An 18,625-nucleotide genomic window follows, 5' to 3' on the forward strand; every position below is an offset into this window, starting at 1 on the left:
TTACTTCCTCTCTTATTGTTAATTTTTGTGATTGGGTGGTTTTTTATCGTGATAATGTTTAATTTTTTTCCTCTTTGTCTTTTGTGTACTGGTTCTCCCAGTGAGTTTTATAGTTTTGCATGTTTTCATGGTGGTTAGCATCTTTTCACTTTTTAATGTAAGACTCTGTTGAGCATTTCTTGTGTGGCTGGTATGGTGGTGAAGAATCCCCTTAGTTTTTGCTTGTCTGTGAAAGATTTTATTTCTCTTTCATTTCTGAAGGATAGCTTTGCTGATTATAATATTCTTGGCTAGCAATATTTTTCCCCTAGTACTTTGAATATATCATCCTGTTTTCTCCTGGCCTGTAAGGTTTCTGTAGAGAAATGCATTATTAGTCTAATAGGGATTCCTTTATACGTGACCTGATGCTTTTCCATTGTTGTTTTTAGAATTCTCTTTTTGTCTTTGACTTTTGACAATTTGACTGTAATATGGCTCAGGGTAGACCTTTTTAGGTTGATTCTATTTGGGGATCTTTGAGCTTCCTGGGCCTGGATATCTATCTCTCTCCTAATACTTGGAAAAATGTTAGCTATTATTTCATAAAATATGTTTTCTATACTCTGTCTCTTCTCTTCTCCTGGAACACCCATAATGTGATATTTGTTACTTAATGATGTCCCATAAATCCTGTAGGCTGTCTTAATTTTTTTTCTTGTGTCTGCCTGTGTTATTTCAAAAGACCTTTCTTCAAGTTCAGAAATTTACTCCTCTGCTTGATCTAGTCTTTTACTGAAACTCTTGATTATATTTTTAATTTCATTCATTGAATTCTTAGCTCTAGGGTTTCTGTTTGGCTCTTTTTTCATGATAGCAATCTCCACTGAATTTCTCATTCATATCATGAGTTGTTTCCTAATGTCACTGAATTGTCTGTATTCTTATACCTTACTGAGTTTTCTTGATTATTATTTTGCATTCTTTTTCTGGCATTTCACATATTTCATTATGATTGGGGTCTGTTACTGGAGAATTATTGTGTTCCTTTGCAGGTGTCATTTCCTTGCATTTTTTATGTTTGATATGTCATGTTAATTTCCATGTATCCAGGGGAAAAGTCACCTCTTTCAATTTTATGGTGTAGAGTTTGAAGAGAAAGTTTGATTCATAATGATGTGTCTTGGAGGGTCAGTTTGGTGGGGTTTGTTGGCTTTGGTTTTATGTGAATGCAGTAGTGCAGTCTCCATGTAGTTTCTTCAGCTGTAATCCATGCTAGTGATGTTTGTGAGTGTCTCAGTGACATATGCTGAGGAAATATGTAGTGTGATTGTATGGCTTTGCTGGGGGTGGGATTGCTGGGCTGTTTCTCAGGTCAGGGGCGTGTGAGTGCTCAACCTAGGACCTGCCTTGCTAGGGTTGCAGTCATGGGACTGTTACTCTGGCTATGGGCATGGATGCACAGTTGCTTGGCCAATGTGGGAGCATGCCTGCTAGGGGCAGACCATAGGGCTTTTTCTCAGGCTCTGGACACAGTTGCAAGGCTGCTTGGCTTGCCTGTCAGTGTGTCTTCCTTCCCAGGGTTGTTTCTCAGGTCTGGGATGCAGGTGCAAGGCTACCTGACCAGCCTGGGGAGTGTCTTTTTGGGGAAGCTCACAGGGATGCTTTTGCAGCTCAGGATATAGGCGCACAGTTGCATGGCTGACATGGGGTTATGCCTGTCAGGGGCAGCCAACAGGGCTGTTTCTCAGGCCCAAGATGGGGGCACATAGCTTCTTGACTGGCTTAGGGGCATGTTAGTTGCTTGGTGGCTGAGGGAACTCTCCTGCTCAGGAGAGGGCACACAGCAGTTTGGCTGGCTCAAGAGTGGGTTTTCCCTGGGTGGAATGGCCAGGCTGTTTCTCTGGCTGGTAGTATAACAGCAGAAGGTTGGTTTCCCTGATGTGGAGGACCAGACTCACAGCCAATCTTGGGCCCATGCTCCATGTGGCTGGAGTTGTGGTGTCCAGCAACCATTGTAGCATTGGTGGAATGAAGATGGATCCCCACTGCTGGAGAGGCTACTGGACCCCAGAGCAGTGTGCACTCCAGAGGCAGCTCTGGTCTCAAGATGGCACCATGCTGCAGCAGTTTGGTTCATGGGGGTGGGGTGGGGGTGGGAAGTGTGGAAGTGCATACACATTGTGCTCCTACTCTGGGGCAATGCAGCTGCATGAATTCCCAGCAGCTCTCCAAGCCAGACTCAGGACTGTGAGATTCCTCTGCAGTAAGAACTGTAGGTGTTTGTGGTGGTGATAGGGGCTGGTGGGGATCTTCTGCTTACCTTTTTTCTGCAAGGGGAAATCCCTTCTGAATCTGGGCAGATCTGATCCAAGTGGGGAAAATGAGGCTGCAGAGGCCAGATTCCTCCATGCTGCCCTCCTGGACTTCCAGTCACTACAGATGTGTCTCCACTCCCCCACTGCACTCCAGTACTCTCTCTTCAGCACTCCAGAAAATCTTAGCCATTCATTGCCATTGTCCTTTCTTGGGGGATGAACACTAGGCCTCTCTAGTCAGCCACCTTGCTGATGTCAATCTTTGAAACATGATTTTTTAAAGGTTACATTATATTTGATTTTATTGATATACCATTATTTATGTATGGTTAGACATAATGATTATTCTGTTTTTTTGCAATGTGGTATTTTATTTATTGCATTTTCTCTGTCTTTTAGCTATTCTGTGTTTATCATCTATATAGTTCTCAAGAATCATAATCTTATCTTTTTATTAGAATGTCAAAGTTAGGTAAATGGGCTTTTAAAGAAATAACTCACAAAGATTCAACCTACAAGAAGCTTTTTGATTGTCTCTTAAATCAATGCAAGTTATTATATATGTTCACTTTTATAATATAGATTAAATTCTGTCAATTAAATGAGTATGCTTGTATCTTTCCTATTTGCTGATATGTTGTGAGATGATGTACAAGTCTTCATTTTGGATTAAAAGAGGCTGCAGATATGTGCAGAATGGGTATGAAAGTTTCCTTACAAGAGAGAATAAAAGGATGGTTTAACTCTTGCTAGAAAAACCCCAGCTTTGGCATTTGTTTGCTCAGTAACCTTGGACACTTTTTTTTTGACTTATAAGAGCCTCAACTTTCTCATCTATAAATTTGTGGGAGATAATATTATATAAGATTTTGCAGATCAGATGTTAGGATTACATGGACAAAGAATATCAATTGTGTATCACAGAGTACAATATACTAGGAGTACCCATACACAATAGACTTTGTTGTTATTATTTATTCTAGATTCTATCTTAAAGCAGGTTAAATGTTAGATGTCTCTTCTGGAAATGAGGCAGAAGTGACAGAGGCCTTGAGTTATTTGACCAAGCAGTTAAAAATGTAATTATTTTTAAGTAATCCTATACCTGGCTTTTCTTTTTAATTTTGCATAGCTTTATTGAGATGTAATTTACATACCATAAAATTCACCTGTTTACATGTAAAATTAAATGATTTTTAGTAAATTTATAGAGATGTGCAGTTATCACCACAATTCAATTTGTGAGCCATTCCATCATACCAAAAAAGTTCTCTCAGACCCATTTGCAGTTACTCTGTGTTCCTACTTTCAACTCTAGGCAACCAGTAATCTACTTTCTGTCTCTAAAGGTTTGCCCTTTCCATACGTTTCATATAGATGGAATCATATAATACGTAATCATTTGCCTCTAGTTTTTTTCACTTAATGTAGTGTTTTTGAGATTCATCTATGTCCTACCATGTATCAGTACTTTTTCCTTTTGATTGCCGAGTAGTATTCCACTGTGTGGACATATATATTTAGTTTGCTCATTCATCTATTGATGGACATTTGTATTGTTCCCAGTTTTTGGCTATTATAAATAATGTTGCTATACATATGCATGAATTGGTCTTTGTGTGGATATAAATTTTCAGTTCTCTAGGATATATACCTAGGAATGGAATTACTGGATTGTATGGTAATTTATATTTAACTTTATTTATTTATTTAAAAATTTATTTAAGAACTTTAAAAAAAATTTTAAAAATTAACAGTTTTAAAATTGTACCTATTTATGGGATGCATAGTGATGTTGCAATACATATAATGTATCGTGATCAGATCAGGGTAATTAGCGTATCTATTATAAACATTTATCACTTCTTTATATTGAGGACATTCAATATCCTCCTTCTAGCTATTTGAAACTATATAGCATTGTTAAATATAGACATCCTACAGTGTTAAAGAATTGTAGAAGTTATTCCTCCTATCTAGCTGTAATTTTGTAATCTTTAACAATTCTCTCCCTACCTCCTCATCCGCCTACTCTTCCCAGCTTCTAGTATCATCCATTCTACTTTTTACTTCTATGAGATCAACTGTTTTTAGCTTCCACACATGAATAAAAACATGCGGTGTTTAACTTTCTGGCTTATTTCACTTAACATAATGTCCTCCAGTTCCATTCATGTTGCCTCAAGTGATAAGATTTCATTATTTTTTATGAATGAATAGTATTCCATTGTGTATATATACCACATATTCTTTATCCATTCATCTGTTGTTGAATACTTAGGTTGATTCTATATCTTGACTATTGTGGGAATGCCAATGTCTTTTCAATATAATGATTTTCCTGCCTTTTGATAAATGCCCAGTAGTGCGATTGCTCGATCATATGGTAGTCTTATTTGTAGTTTTTTTGAGGTATCTCCCTACTGTTCTCCATAGTGGTTGTACTAGTTTACATTCCCACCAACAGTGTATAAGAATTGCCTTTTCTCTGAATCCTTGCTAGCGTTTGTTATTTTTTGTTTTTCCGATAATAGCTATCATAGCTGGGGTGAGATGATATCTTATTGTGGTTTTGATTTGCATTTCTCTGATGATTAGTGACGCTGAGCATTTTTTCATTGGTCATTTCTGCATTTAACTGTAAAACAATTTTCAAACTCCCTTTCAAACTGTTTTCCAAAGTGTCTGTACCCTTTTACATTTCTACTAGCAATTGTCCTGCTTTTTTTGAGTATATTCTCATTTAGCATAAATCCCAGGCCAGGCGCTTAACGTAGTGTCCTCCAGGAGGACAAGTCTTTGTGTGCTTACAGGCTCATGCCTGTAATCCGAGCACTTTGGGAGGCCATGGCTGGCAGATCACCTGAGGTCAGGAGTTCGAGACCAGCCTGGCCAACACGGCGAAACCCTGTCTCTACTAAAAATACAAAAATTAGCTGGGCGTGGTGGCACATGCCTGTAATCCCAGCTACTCGGGAGGCTGAGGCAGGAGAATCACTTGAACCCAGGAGGCAGAGGTTGCAGTGAGCCGAGATTGTGCCGTTGCACTCCAGCCTGGGTTACAGAGTGAGATTTCATCATCAACAACAACAACAACAAAATCCCCAAATATACGCACACATTTTTCAGCAAACCAGGATCTTTTGTTTACACAAACAAACAATGAGAATATCTAAAAGTTAGGACACCATGTACATAAGAATAAGCACTTTTAAGAAACTACTATGGGTAAGGCACATGACATTGTAAATACATTTTCTGTGAATACATAACAACCATATGAAGCAATTACTGTTATCACCTTTCACAGACTAACCAACAAGAACCACAAGGATTAATGAGGTTTCAAAGCAGTCCAGTGACTTGTGGGTAGCAGCATCAGGATTTGAACCCAGGTCCATTTGGTTCCAAAGCCAGTGCTGCACTGACTGCCAAAGCAAGAAACAAATTCATGCTGTCTACATGATTATCCAGATTGAGAAATAGTCTTTATTAAAGAGTGTTTAAAAATGGCTGTTAATGGCCCCAGGGATAGGCTTTCTTTCTCTTAGCCACAGCCTGTTGTCTTCACCCAAAGCAGACGGAAGGATAAGGATCAACATTTCATGGCAAATATGCTGAGAGTCTGGAACTGAAATGAAGGTTGCCTGGGGCCTCTGTGAGAGAAGGCGTCTGGAACTGTTCGGTGTGCTTCTGCTACACTGGCCTGCGGCCTATGCCCAGCTCTGCCTTTTTCTAGCTGTGTGACTTTGAGCACATTGGTCAACCTCTCTGAACCTGTAGATGAAGGTGAATAACAGTTGCACATCTTGGGTGGTGGTGAGGATTTGAAGTACTTGAAATCATTAACGGGGAAGTTTCACCACTGTGCAGTACCAAGTGCTGACAATAGGACCCTTCCTTCCTGTCTTAGTCCACTGGGGCTGCTCTACCCATAATGCTATAGATTGGATGGCTTATCAACAACAGAAATTTATGTGTCAGTTCTTGAGACTGGGAAGTCCATGATCAAGGCTGCAGCATATTCGGTGTCTGATGAGGACCCACTTTTTGGCTCATAGACAGCCATCTTGCTGTGTGTCCTCACATGGTGAAATGAGCTCTCTGGGGTCTCTTTGACAAGGGCATTAATCCCGTTCATGAGGGCTCCATCTTCATGGCCTAATACCTTCCAAAGGCCCCACATCCTAGTATCATCACCTTGGGGATTAAGATTTCAACGTAGGCATTTTGTGGAATCACAACCACTATGGGACTATAGGACTATAAGACTTCCACACTGTCACCTTTTCTCTTTTGAGAGGCTTATGAGTGTCCTGAGCTGTCAAAAAAGAGGACTAGCCATTTAGGAGCAGTCCTGATGGGGATCAGAAAATTCTTTGGACATGTGTGGGAGACTCTTCTGCAGGACAGTACAAGGGTGAGGTGGCTGGCAAGGGACAGCCCCTACCTGCCTGAGAAGCGAATAGCCAGGGAAAGGAGACAAGGGCTCACCTGGCACAAGGCTTCCTGCTGTGAGCAAGGGATGGTGCTTTGAACTCTCTCAGGGCTAACTGCCTCTTCCAGGTGGCCCTGCCTACAACTGAGTTCCAGATACTGTTCCAACCTCCTCTGAGCTCCATTGAGTCACTGGGCACTCCCAGCCCAGGTGACTTTCATCTCATCTCTCCAGGAGCAGGCTAGTCATCCTCTCCCTCTATCCCAGTGGTTCTCAACCTTGGCTGCATATTGGAATCATTTGGCAGAACATAAAAAGATAATGATGCCCAAACCCTACTCCCGGAGATCCTGATTTAATTGGCCTGGGGTGTGTCCTAGGCGTTGGAATTTTTTCCAGGTGATTCTAACATGCAGCTAGGCATGAGAGTCATTGCTTGTTCTCACTGCAAATCAGTATCATGTCATTTTCTATCTCCAGAATGAGGTGGAGCTAGCTGGCCTATACTGGTTTGTGAGAGCCCATTATTGAAATCTCAGGAACTTTACAAACCAGTTATTAAGAATGGTCATTATTAAAAAAAAATTATATGAACTTTCAATTAAATAAATTTGATTAGCAGCAAAGATAATAAAGTCTCAAAACTAAGTAATTCCTAATTATTTTGCATTTTACTGTTACCTACACTTTACGTTATTTGCATCTATTGCATCTCTGTTACATAGTATGACAATACTATATAATCATGTACTATGGTGAATCATTTCCCACTTCCACGTTCAGTGACATCATGTTAGTAGCTTGAAATAGTTCATGGTGGGAATATTTACACCACAGACATTGGCAAACGATACAAGTCAAGGCTTTATTTATTGTTTTGCTGATTGTCTAGGCTTGAGAAAATGACAGAAGTCCTGTTAATAATGCAGATTAAACTTGAATACGTTTCATGTCTATAGCTGTTGTGAAGAGCAAAAGAACTGAGGTCATATTCTTTGAGTATTTGAAAGCTATGACATGATTCAGCAATAAAGCAGCTCATATCATCAGTGAGTAAGTATAATTTCCATATTTTTGTATTTTCACTTTAATTTTACTCTTTACTGTAGACAAAAATGTTAGCCAATAATCATGTCTCCGCTATACTCATTTATCAATTGTAACCATAGGTTGACTGTGGGGACAAGGGCTGAGAAGGAAATCAATGAAAGTATTATGTGAGAATCAATTAACTCTATGGAATTTATAATAAATACTGAATATCTTATTATTATTTGCAAATTGTGTGCAACATATCCTTTATATCAGTAAAATTTGTAGCAAACATCTATGTGTATATATACATCCTTTTTTTTTTCCTCGAGAACCAGTTGTTAAACTTACACTAGCATGCTACCACCTACCTCCACACCTTTCTTCAAAAGATCTTTATCCCCTGACTCACTCTCTTTTCTCCATATTCCTGATAAGGCTGTTCTTCCAGAAGCCAGAGGAAAGCCCTTTGTTATAGTCTTTACAGGTTAGCCTTCCACACCTCTTGGAGAAGAATGGGAGGGATCTGGAGGGGCAAACAGAAGATATACGACATAATTAGCTGTTTTTTAAAAATTATTAATAGATTTCAGCTGTGCCTGGAAGCACTCAATCCTCCAGTCACTCTGTGGCTAGATATTATTTCTAAACACATATGAAACCTGCTGCAACAACAAAATCTATAAAATACATGTCTGCTTTTCTTTCTACTGATGGTCCACATGGATAGTAAGAAATGCATCCACAGAGGCACTGCCCACGTCTTAAAACATGAGAGAAAAGGATAACAGCTATGAACAGCATGTTAAGGCTTAGGTTTCTTGGCATGTCCTGTGATAGTGTCCTTGTCATCTATTTCTGCATAACAAACCACTTAAAGACTTAATGACTCAAAACAGTGACAAACATTTATCCTGTGCACAAGTCTGTAATTTGAATAGGGCTCCGTGGAGAAGACTTGAATCCACTCCACATAGCATTGGTTGTGGGGATTGACTTAGGGCTGGAGGATCTAAATCCTCTATGCTCACTCCCATGGCTGGTGAATTGATGTTGGCAATCAGCTAGGAGTCCAGGGGGCTTTGGCTCCTCTTTACGTGGCCTGGGCTTCCTTACAACATGATGGTTGGATTCCAGGGGCAAATGTTCTAAACTAGCTGAAAGCCATGTTGCCGTGTATGACTTAGCTTTAGAAGGCACATAGCATTACTTATGCTGTATTCTATTATTTGATGCAGACAAAAAGCCCCATCCAGGTTCAAGCGACTCCACATCTTAACGGGGGAGTGAGAAGTTCTGGAAGAGCATGTAGGACAGGAAATACTATTGTGACCCTTTTTAGAAATTATAATCTGTCACAGCTAGAAAGGAAGAGAACGCCTCCCAAAACACTGCATGTCCCTGGTGTCTTGTGTTTTGTGCAAGAAATCAGCAGGACATATTCCACGACTAGTCCAGAATGACAAGTGGTAAGAATTGAGAAATGGGGGTCAACTGAGGTGAAGGGGAAATATGTTGTTTTTACTAACAGAAATGTCTAAAGAGTTAATGATACTTCAGGTCATTTTTCAATAGACTGTAGGTATGTGAAACAGTGGAAGTGTTCCATTATGAAAAGCTTAATCGAGATAGCCAATGGAAGTATTGAAAGGTCATTACCATAATACATTTGCAGAAGAAGCGCTCCAAATCATTGTGAAACTCCATGGCCGCATACTCCACAATTACCTGGAGTAGAGAGACAGTCAGGGTGCCCCATGCCATCTCCCCCAGAATGGAAAAAGACAAGTTGCTCACATGAGAATCCAAATGAAGTGTGTCAGAAACAAACAGTACTCACATTAGGCAGGGATAAAGTTCTAGCTGCAGAATGATTAAATACTTTTTTTTTTTAATGGGAAGAGACCTTTTTAAACCTTTTTAAAGGTTGCGTAGATGCAGAGACTCTGAGATAAAGGGATTCTTTTCCAACCAAAGTATAGGTAGTTTTCTTTGGTTAGTTAAAGAAGCTTAAATGGACATGACCCCTAGAAGGGATCGTTTATTTTATGAAAAGCATCCAGAATATACAATCAGTTATGTGTGGTTCACACAGTTCTGTTAGCTAAAAAGGGACCAAGGTAAGATTGTGTGTCTTTTTACAGATACTATTTTGACATAATTTCTGACTTAGAGAAAAGTTGCAAAAATGCAGAAATAATATTTACCCAGATTGCTCAGATGTTAAATGTTTAGAATATTTGCTTTTTTCCCCTTCCTCCCTCCCTCCCTCCTTCCTTCCTTCCTTCCTTCCTTCCTTCCTTCCTTCCTTCCTTCCTTTTCTTTTGTCTTTTTTTTTTTCTTTTTTTTTGAGACGGAGTCTCACTCTGTTGCCCAGGCTGGAGTGCAGTGACAAGATCTCAGCTTACTGCAACCTCCATCTCCCAGGTTCAAGCAATTCTCTTGCCTCAGCCTACCAAGTAGCTAGGATTACAGGCACATGCCACCACAGTTGGCTAATTTTTGTATTTTTAGTAGAGACAGGATTTCACCATATTGGCCAGGCTGGTCTCAAACTCCTGACCTCAAGTGATCTGCCTGCCTCAGACTCCCACTTTATCTCTTTCTTTCCTTTCTTCTTTCCTTTCTCCTTTCCTTCCCCTTCCCCTTCCATTTCCCCTTCCCTTCCCTCCTTTCCTTTTTCCTTTCAAGACAGGCTCTTGCTCTGTTTCCCAGGCTGGAGTGCAGTGACATGATGATGACTCACTGCAACCTGGACCTCCTGGGCTCAAGCAGTCCTCCCCACTCAGTCCTAGTAGCTGAGACCATGGGCGCACACCATCACACAGGGCTAATTTTTAAATTTTTTGTAGACAAGGTATCACTGTGTTGCCCAGGCTGGTCTCAAACTCCTGGTCTCAAGTGATCTTCCCGCCTCGACTTCCCAAAGTGCTGAGATTACAGGCATGAGCCACCAGGCCTGGCCTCTTTCTCTTTAATCTATCTCTATCTGTATCTCTGTCTCTGTCTCTACCTCTATCTCTCTCTCTACCTCTGGCTCTTTCTCTATATCATAAACATATAGTCTGCATCTATGTCTATATGTCTAGGAAGAGAAATATACATACAGATAGATATGTGTTTGCATCAGATATAAGTGATGATTTTTCAGAACCATTTAAGAGTAAGTTGCAGACAGGATGTCCCTTTATCCCTAAATACAATGTTTATTTACTAAAAACAAATTCTCAAATTTTCTTACATAATGAAAACACAAGTATCATAACTAGAAAATTAAAATTAATATAATGTTACTATCTAATATAAAGACTTCATTCAAATTTTTCTATTTTTCCCAATAATGTTCTTTATAGTAAAATAAAATTTAAGACCATGTGTTTTTTATAGTAAAATGAAATCTAAGATCAAACATAAAACTGATGTCTTGATAAACTCAGTTCTGTTACTGTACCTGAAAAATGGGTCGATAGACATATAAACTCTTAGTTATATTTGCAAAGTCACAGAGAACCCATTTTAAAATGGCCTTCCCTGGGCATGTTAGGCTGAAACCTACAACTCTTTTTGTTGGGCCAGGCAGAGAAGAATTTCTTGTTGGGATTCCTAGAAGACTGGCACTACACTTAGTGTACAGGCAATACTTGTTAAATGTTTATTTAACACTGAATAAGTATTAACATTGTAACATTAAGCATTATATGTTTAATGTAATTAATATAATGTAATTAGTTATGTAATATAATTAATGTAACCTAATGTAATATAATTATATGTAAATAGTATAACATTAAACAACCAAACCTAGAAAAAAACTCAGATTTAAAAGTAGTTTCTGTATCACCTAAGAATAAAAATATTTTAAACCTAAGTCATCCGGGGCTTGAATTTTCTAATTGAAAATTAGAGGCTTAGGAGGATGTTAAAAAAATCTTTATATTACTTGGGTATCATTGGGTGAACTGTGATGTTATTTATAATAGTTGTCACAATCACCTTTGAAATTCTAGCAACTCTGACACATTGAGGAGAATAAACAGATTTTTCTCCTTATCAAAACTAGTCCTTTTACTAGAATCTAAAGCTGTCCTTCGGATTCAGACTGAGGACACTGTGACTACTGAGGCAAGGATGTGAATGCCAGGGGTGTGTGTAGAAGGTGAGCCCAGGAAGCACTGGTAGGAGAGTCAAGATGTGAGACAGGAAAAGGTAGAAACAAATAAAGAGTGAATTATCTAGTAAGTCATGACTGTGGAAAACTGGGGCTCACCCCCACTGGGCGACTCATGGAAAGAGTGAAGAACAGAGTTCTATGGAGTTATTCCAACAGAGAGTCCAGGAAGCTAGTGTATTTATGTACCCAATCCCACCGGTTGCTGGTGAAAGCCTGCTGCCAACAATACTAAGGCCCCAGCATATCCAGTCTGCCTCATGTGAGGGGCTAATGGTCTCTGGCAGCCTGCAAAATCCCTCTTGCAAGGGCTCCCAGAGGCTTATAGCTGGAACCTGCCATGTCAGGCTGCACGGGCATGATGCTTGCCTAGGGATAGAGATGGAGCACCTTCAGCTTCTACGTTTTCCATTCCTGCCATTTGGAACCAGGTTTAATGGAATTAGAGAAGCATTTGAAAAATTAGATATTTGTTGTTTAAGAAAATATGATCAATGAAGAGTCAAACTACTTCTTCTTCTTCTTCTTTTTTAATGAAATGAACAGGTAAAAGTCCTTCTATGGCTTAGCCATCCCAGACTCCAGTAGAAATGGGTATGAAGATAATTGCATTATAGCTAACGAGTAGTGGAAAGAGTGAAGCTAACACCAATCGCTTGAGGGAACAAGTAAATTAAATGCTGATGACCTTGACCAGGCAGCAAACTACATTCATTGATTATTTTAATTTTCTCTCTTCTACACTCAGTTAAACATCCATAGCAGTGGATTTCAAGGTAACTAAAAGGTTGTTTAGCATACTTTTAAAAGAGTCAGGAATAGCAGAACAAAAAGGCCCCTATCAAACAAACAAAAAAATACCTCATCTGATGTGTGTCCTCTATATGTGGGTGTACATGAGTGATTATTTGCCTCTATGTATCTGCTCCTCAGAAGGGATGCATATGTGTTTCAACAGAAAGGAAGAAAAAGAGAAAATTGACAGGTAGAACATTTGAATAAAAAAGGGAGGAATGTCCTATCCTGGGTAATTCTGTTATGTGCAGCATTTTAAAACTGTGATATTATGTGGTAGAAGGAAATAAAAACTTGAGGGGAGGATAATAAAATGAAAGTGAGAAGGTGAATTTTTGTAGTTCTGGCTTCTTAGATGTCCACTGCATTTATCTGAAAAAGGAACTCAACCTGCTTGAAAATTTAGGCTTTACAAACAAAGTAAAACAAAAACAGTTTAAAGATATTTCTACTTTTAAAAAATTTTTATTTATTTATGTATTTATTTGTTTGTTTGTTTATTTTTGAGACAGAGTCTCACTCTGTTGCCCAGGCTGGAGTGCAGTGGCATGATCTTGCTCACTGCAACCTCTGCCTCCTGGGTTCAAGTGATTCTCCTGCCTCAGCCTCCCTAGTAGCTGGGATTACAGGCACGCCACCACCACGCCCGGCTAACTTTTGTATTTATAGTAGAGACAGGGTTTCACCATGTTGGCCAAGCTGGTCTCGAACTCCTGACAGGTGATCCTCCCGCCTGGGCCTCCAAAAGTGCTGGGATTTACACGTGTGAGCCACCGTGCCAGGCCAAAAGATATTTCTAAAATGACTAACTAGTTGTTGAGTTTTGATGGGGATTATACTAAATCAGAAATAGTAATCAAAATTAAAGAATTAATAAGGAAATAATTTGAGTTATAGTGAAGGGTCTTTTTAAGAGAATATAAATCCAACCAGATGATATTTAAATATGCCTTTCTGTTTTCACCATTTAATGGCTTGTCTGGATTAAGTTGTTGAAGGACTAGGGCTGTGTTAGGATTTGAATGTGTCCTCACGAAAGCATGTGTTAGAAACTTAATCTCCAGGGCAATAGGGTTGGGAGGTGGGGCCTATTAGGAGGTGATTAGGACAGGAGGGTTCTGCCCTCATGAATGGATTAATGTCATTGTCATGGGAATAGGTTATTTATCTTCAAAGTTGGTTCATTATAAAAAAGCGAATTCAGTGCTCCCCTACTCCCTGCCATCCCCCTCTCACCCTCTTGCCTTCTGCCAAGGGATGACTCAGCAAGCAGGCCCTTGCCAGAGGCTGTTGCCTCAGTATTGGACTTTCCAGCCTTAAGAGCTGTGAGAAATAAAAAAATAAGTTTATTTTCTTATAAGTAACCCAGTCTCTGTTATTCTGTTAAAGTAGTGTGAAACAGATGAAGACAGGCTGCTTTGTGAAAAGTGGTTATATGAACACAAAAGTTTATTCTTCCAGGAGCACTGTTAAGAAGAGTTAGTTGGGCCATCATTCTGGTTCTTGAACTTTAAAAAGCAGGGGAAATGTCCAAATGAAACTCTGACACTAAAGGATTCATGTTAGAAAAACGTTAATGCCAAGAGTTGTGCTAAAAAAAAATGATAATGCAGTTGTACTGGTATTAAGCACTTTCAATCCTCTATAAAAAGTGCAAACAGGCCAGGCACAGTGGCTTATGTCTGTAATCCCAGCACTTTGGGAGGCTGAGGTGGGCAGATCGTGAGGTCAGGAGTTTGAGAGCAGCCTGACCAACATAGTGAAACCCTGTCTCTACTAAAAATAAAAAAATGATCTGGGCATGGTGGCACACACCTGTAATCCCAGCTACTCAGGAGGCTGAGGCAGGCGAATTGCTTGAACCCAGGAGGCAGAGGTTGCAGTGAGCCGAGATCATGCCACTGCACTCCAGACTGGGTGACAGAGGGAGACTCCATCTCAAAAAAAAAAACAAAAAAAAAACAAAAAAAACTGGGAGCAGATTCTAAGAGGTCATCCCGCTTCTCTTTTTTCATTTCTTAAGTCCTCTGAACACATCAGTGAGGTGGAGGCAGCACATTTTAAAATATGGGGCTTTCTCTATTCCCCATGAGAAAGATAAGCCTTGATTGACTTTCCCTTACTTTTATCAAACTTAAGCCAGATACATCTCAAAGTTCCATTTTGTCTTCTACTTCAGCACATGTCCTGTGCAGGAAAAGTCACTGGAATTGAGGAATTCTGGAGATACGTCATTAGTGCTAGCACATGCTGATAACTTCTAGCTGGAACAGGGAAGAGGCTGGAAGGCATGTGTCTCCAGTGCATCCCAAAGTCCAGGGAACCTTAGTAGATAAAGATGCTGACTTCTCTTTTCTAACCATGCCTGGTCCCACAGAACCCAGCATCAGCACTTACGGGTACTGTATATAAGGCTTCAAGTCTAGATGTTTTATCTCTGTCCTTGATTCCCTGATTTTTATTCATGTATTTTTTTCAGTTTTATTGAGGTATAATTGGTTTATTAGTCTGCTTTCACACTGCTATAAAGAAATACCCGAAACTGGGTAACTTATAAGAAAAGACGTTGAATTGATTCACAGTTCCACACAGCTGGGGAGGCCTCAGGAAACATGGCAGACAGTGAAGGGGAAGCAAGGACCTTCTTCACATGGCAGCAGGAGAGAGAGAATGAGTGAAGGAGGAACTTGCCAAACACGTATAAAACCATCAGATCTTGTGAGAACTCACTCACTATCATGAGAACAGCACGGAGGGGAAACCGCCTCCATGATCCCGTCACCTCCCACCAGGTTTTTCCCTCAACACCTGGAGATTATGGGGATTACAATTCAACATGAGATTTGAGTGGGGACACAAAGCCTAACCATATTAATTGATGAATACAAATTGTATAAATCAAGGTGTTCAACATGTTTTTATATACATATATATTGTGAGACACTGGCTACAATCAAGCTAGTTAACACATCTATCACCTCACATAGTTACCCTTGATTTTTAATTTTTTATTATTTCATACACTATTAGAACAAAAACAAGGTATTGACTTGGGTTGCCATGTAAGTTCCTTAGACACACATATATGTGCACACAGACACACACACACACAGTCACACACTCCCATCATCCAATATCACTGCTATTCCATTCTCACTTAAAAGGGCATGCAGCTTATTTATTTATTTATTTATTTTTGAGATGGAGTCTCACTCTGTTGCCCAGGCTGGAGTGCAGTGGCGTGATTTTGGCTCACTGCAACCTCCGCCTCCTGGGCTCAAGCGATTCTTGTGCCTCAGCCTCCTGAGTAGCTGGGACTATAGGCATGTTCCCCCATGTCTGGCTAATTTTTTGTACTTTAGTAAAGACGGGGTTTCACCATGTTGCCCGGCTTGTCTTGAACTCCTGAGCTCAGGCGATCTGCCCGCCTAGGCCTCCCAAAGCACTGGGATTACAGGTGTGAGCCACCACACCCAGCCCATTTAAAAGTTTTTTACCATCAAAAATAGTGAGGAAAATATCCCACTTAAAAGGGCATGTAGCAAAAGTATCACTCTACTGCAATAGAAATAACTAATAGGGGAAACTGAGCATCTGGTGGGAGGAAGGTGGGACTTCCCTGTGCTTTTGGATCAATTTTTCTGTAAACCTAAAACTGTCCTGAAAAAAATAAAGTCTACTAATTTAAAAAAAGTATGTCAAATGGCACAGTCACTATATGAAACAGTTTTGCAGCTCCCCAAAACCTTGAACATAGAATTACCACAAGACTCAGCAATTCGACTCCTTGGTGTATACCACAAAACTGAAAACAGACACTCAAACAAATACTTGTACACAAATATTCATAGCAGCATTATCCACAATTGCCAAATGGTGTAAACAACCCAGATGTCCATCGACATATAAATGGATAAACAAAATATGCGATATGTGAATATGTTGAATGCCCCTAAATTATACACTTTAAAATGGTAATTTTCTATTACATACATTTTATCTCAAAAAAGAACCAATAGAGGAGCATCCTACAAAATAGCTGACCAGTCCTCAAAATGAACAAGATTTTCCAAAATAAGGAAAGACTGAGAAACTGTCACAGTCAAGAAGATCCTAAGGAGACGTGACTCCTAGATTTAATGTGGTCTCATCAATGGAACCCTAGAACACAAAAAGGACATTAGGTAAAAAAATAAGGAAGTCTAAGTAAATTATAGATTTTAGTTTGTAACAATGTATTAATATTATTTCATTAAATGTAACGTGGCACACTAAGATGTTAGTAAGAGGAAATACTGGATGGAGGGTACATGGGAATTTTCTAAGATATCTTACAATTTTTCTGTAAATCTAAACTACTCTATAATTAATAAAGTTGATTTAAAGAAAGGAGCAGCTACATGTGCCTTTTGTGCTCTGTCTTTCCCCACTCTTTCCTCCATGTATGTAACTCGGAGCTTACAGGAGGAGCCTTGAGGACAAGGATGTACACCAAGGATAGTGAGTGGGAGGCAGAGGTAGCCACCTGCTTCCTGCCCTGTCCCGCTGTCTTCACACTTCTTGTTACATGAGAATAAGAACATAAAAGAAAAATTTAAAAAGGACCATTCTTTTAAATCAAATACATTTTGTTTAATTAAAAATTCACTGTTACCATATGTATTAGTTTCTTAGGTTTTTCATCATAAAGGACCACAAATGGGTTGACTTAAAGCAATAGCATTTTATTGTCTCACAGTTCTGGAGGTCAGAAGTCCAAAATCAAGGTGTAGAGCCACGTGCCCACTGAAATTCTGGATGGAATCTTTTCTTGCCTCTTCCCAGCTCCTGGTGGTGATGCTTTACCTCTGGCATTCCTTGGCTTGCAGCCACATCACTCCAATTTGCCTCCGTCTTCACACACTGTTCTCCCTGTGTGTCTTGGTTTTCAGGTAGCATTTCCCTCCTCTTACAAGGACACCATCATGTTAGATTAGATCTTCCCCCATCTCCCCAACCTGCCCATGACATCATCTTGACTACATCTGCAAAGGCCTTATTTTCAAATAAGACCACATTCATCAATATCAGTGGCTAGAACTTCAACATATCTTTTGGGAAACATAATTCAACCTGTAACACTGCATTTTTCTCATTCTATAATGGACATATGAAAACATTTTTAGAGACTAGCATGGGCCTATGGACAGGCATTTGGGATGAATGACATGTGTGATTTAAAAAATCTTCACAACTTTATGAAGTTCATGACCAAGACTTACTATCCCATTTTGCAGGTGATGAAATTGAGACATAGGAAATGTAAGTCAGTTTTTCCTGGGTTGCACAGTTAGGAAATGATGGATTCAGAATTTAAACCTAGACTGTCCTCAGAGTTCTTGCTCTTTCTATCAAATTGTTCTCAGGCTGAATGAGCTTTTAGTGAATCAGATCAGGAAATACAGAATGAGATTCTGATTGGAGGCTTATCCTGAAACATTCTTAGCCTCCTTTATATTCATTTAGGCTTTTCCTTCCTCGCTTTTCCTGCCACCGTCCTCATTGAACTGAAGGCTCGCCTCATAACCACGCTTGCAAGCCTCTCGCTCCTTCTACCATTGTGGCTTTCAAATTTGATTTACTGAAATCTACTTGTCTAAATGATAGAATCGAGAAAGCTTTTACCAAGTAAGTTTATCACAGAAATGTAACTATTATGTGTATTGTGCAAAATGGTTCTTTTTTTTAAATCCAGGCAAATACATTGGAGTCATTAATTTGAATACTAAGTACAAGGTTCTGTTTAAAAATCCACAAGATGAATAACAAATCATAATTCTGGCAAGGCAAAGACATTCTTCAAAGCCATCGTTTGTATAATCCATTGAAGATACTATGATAGTAGCTCGTTGATGG

General features: G+C 39.5%; 1 long non-coding RNA gene across 4 annotated transcripts in view; it reads left to right on the forward strand.

Moving 5' to 3' along the window:
- Positions 1-18,625, forward strand: part of LOC105372666 (uncharacterized) — a 483,513-nt gene that overhangs the window by 348,254 nt on the left and 116,634 nt on the right. The window contains exon 7 of one of the 4 annotated variants that reach the window (XR_001754671.2): positions 7,695-13,085. The exons of the other annotated variants lie outside the window; for them this stretch is intronic. This is a non-coding gene — a long non-coding RNA (uncharacterized LOC105372666). Of the gene's footprint in view, positions 1-7,694; positions 13,086-18,625 lie in introns of those variants that run through there. 4 annotated transcript variants of the gene reach the window in all.

The sequence above is a fragment of the Homo sapiens genome, chromosome 20 (assembly GCF_000001405.40).
Source record: "Homo sapiens chromosome 20, GRCh38.p14 Primary Assembly".
In the NCBI taxonomy this organism is placed as follows: Eukaryota; Metazoa; Chordata; class Mammalia; order Primates; family Hominidae; genus Homo; species Homo sapiens.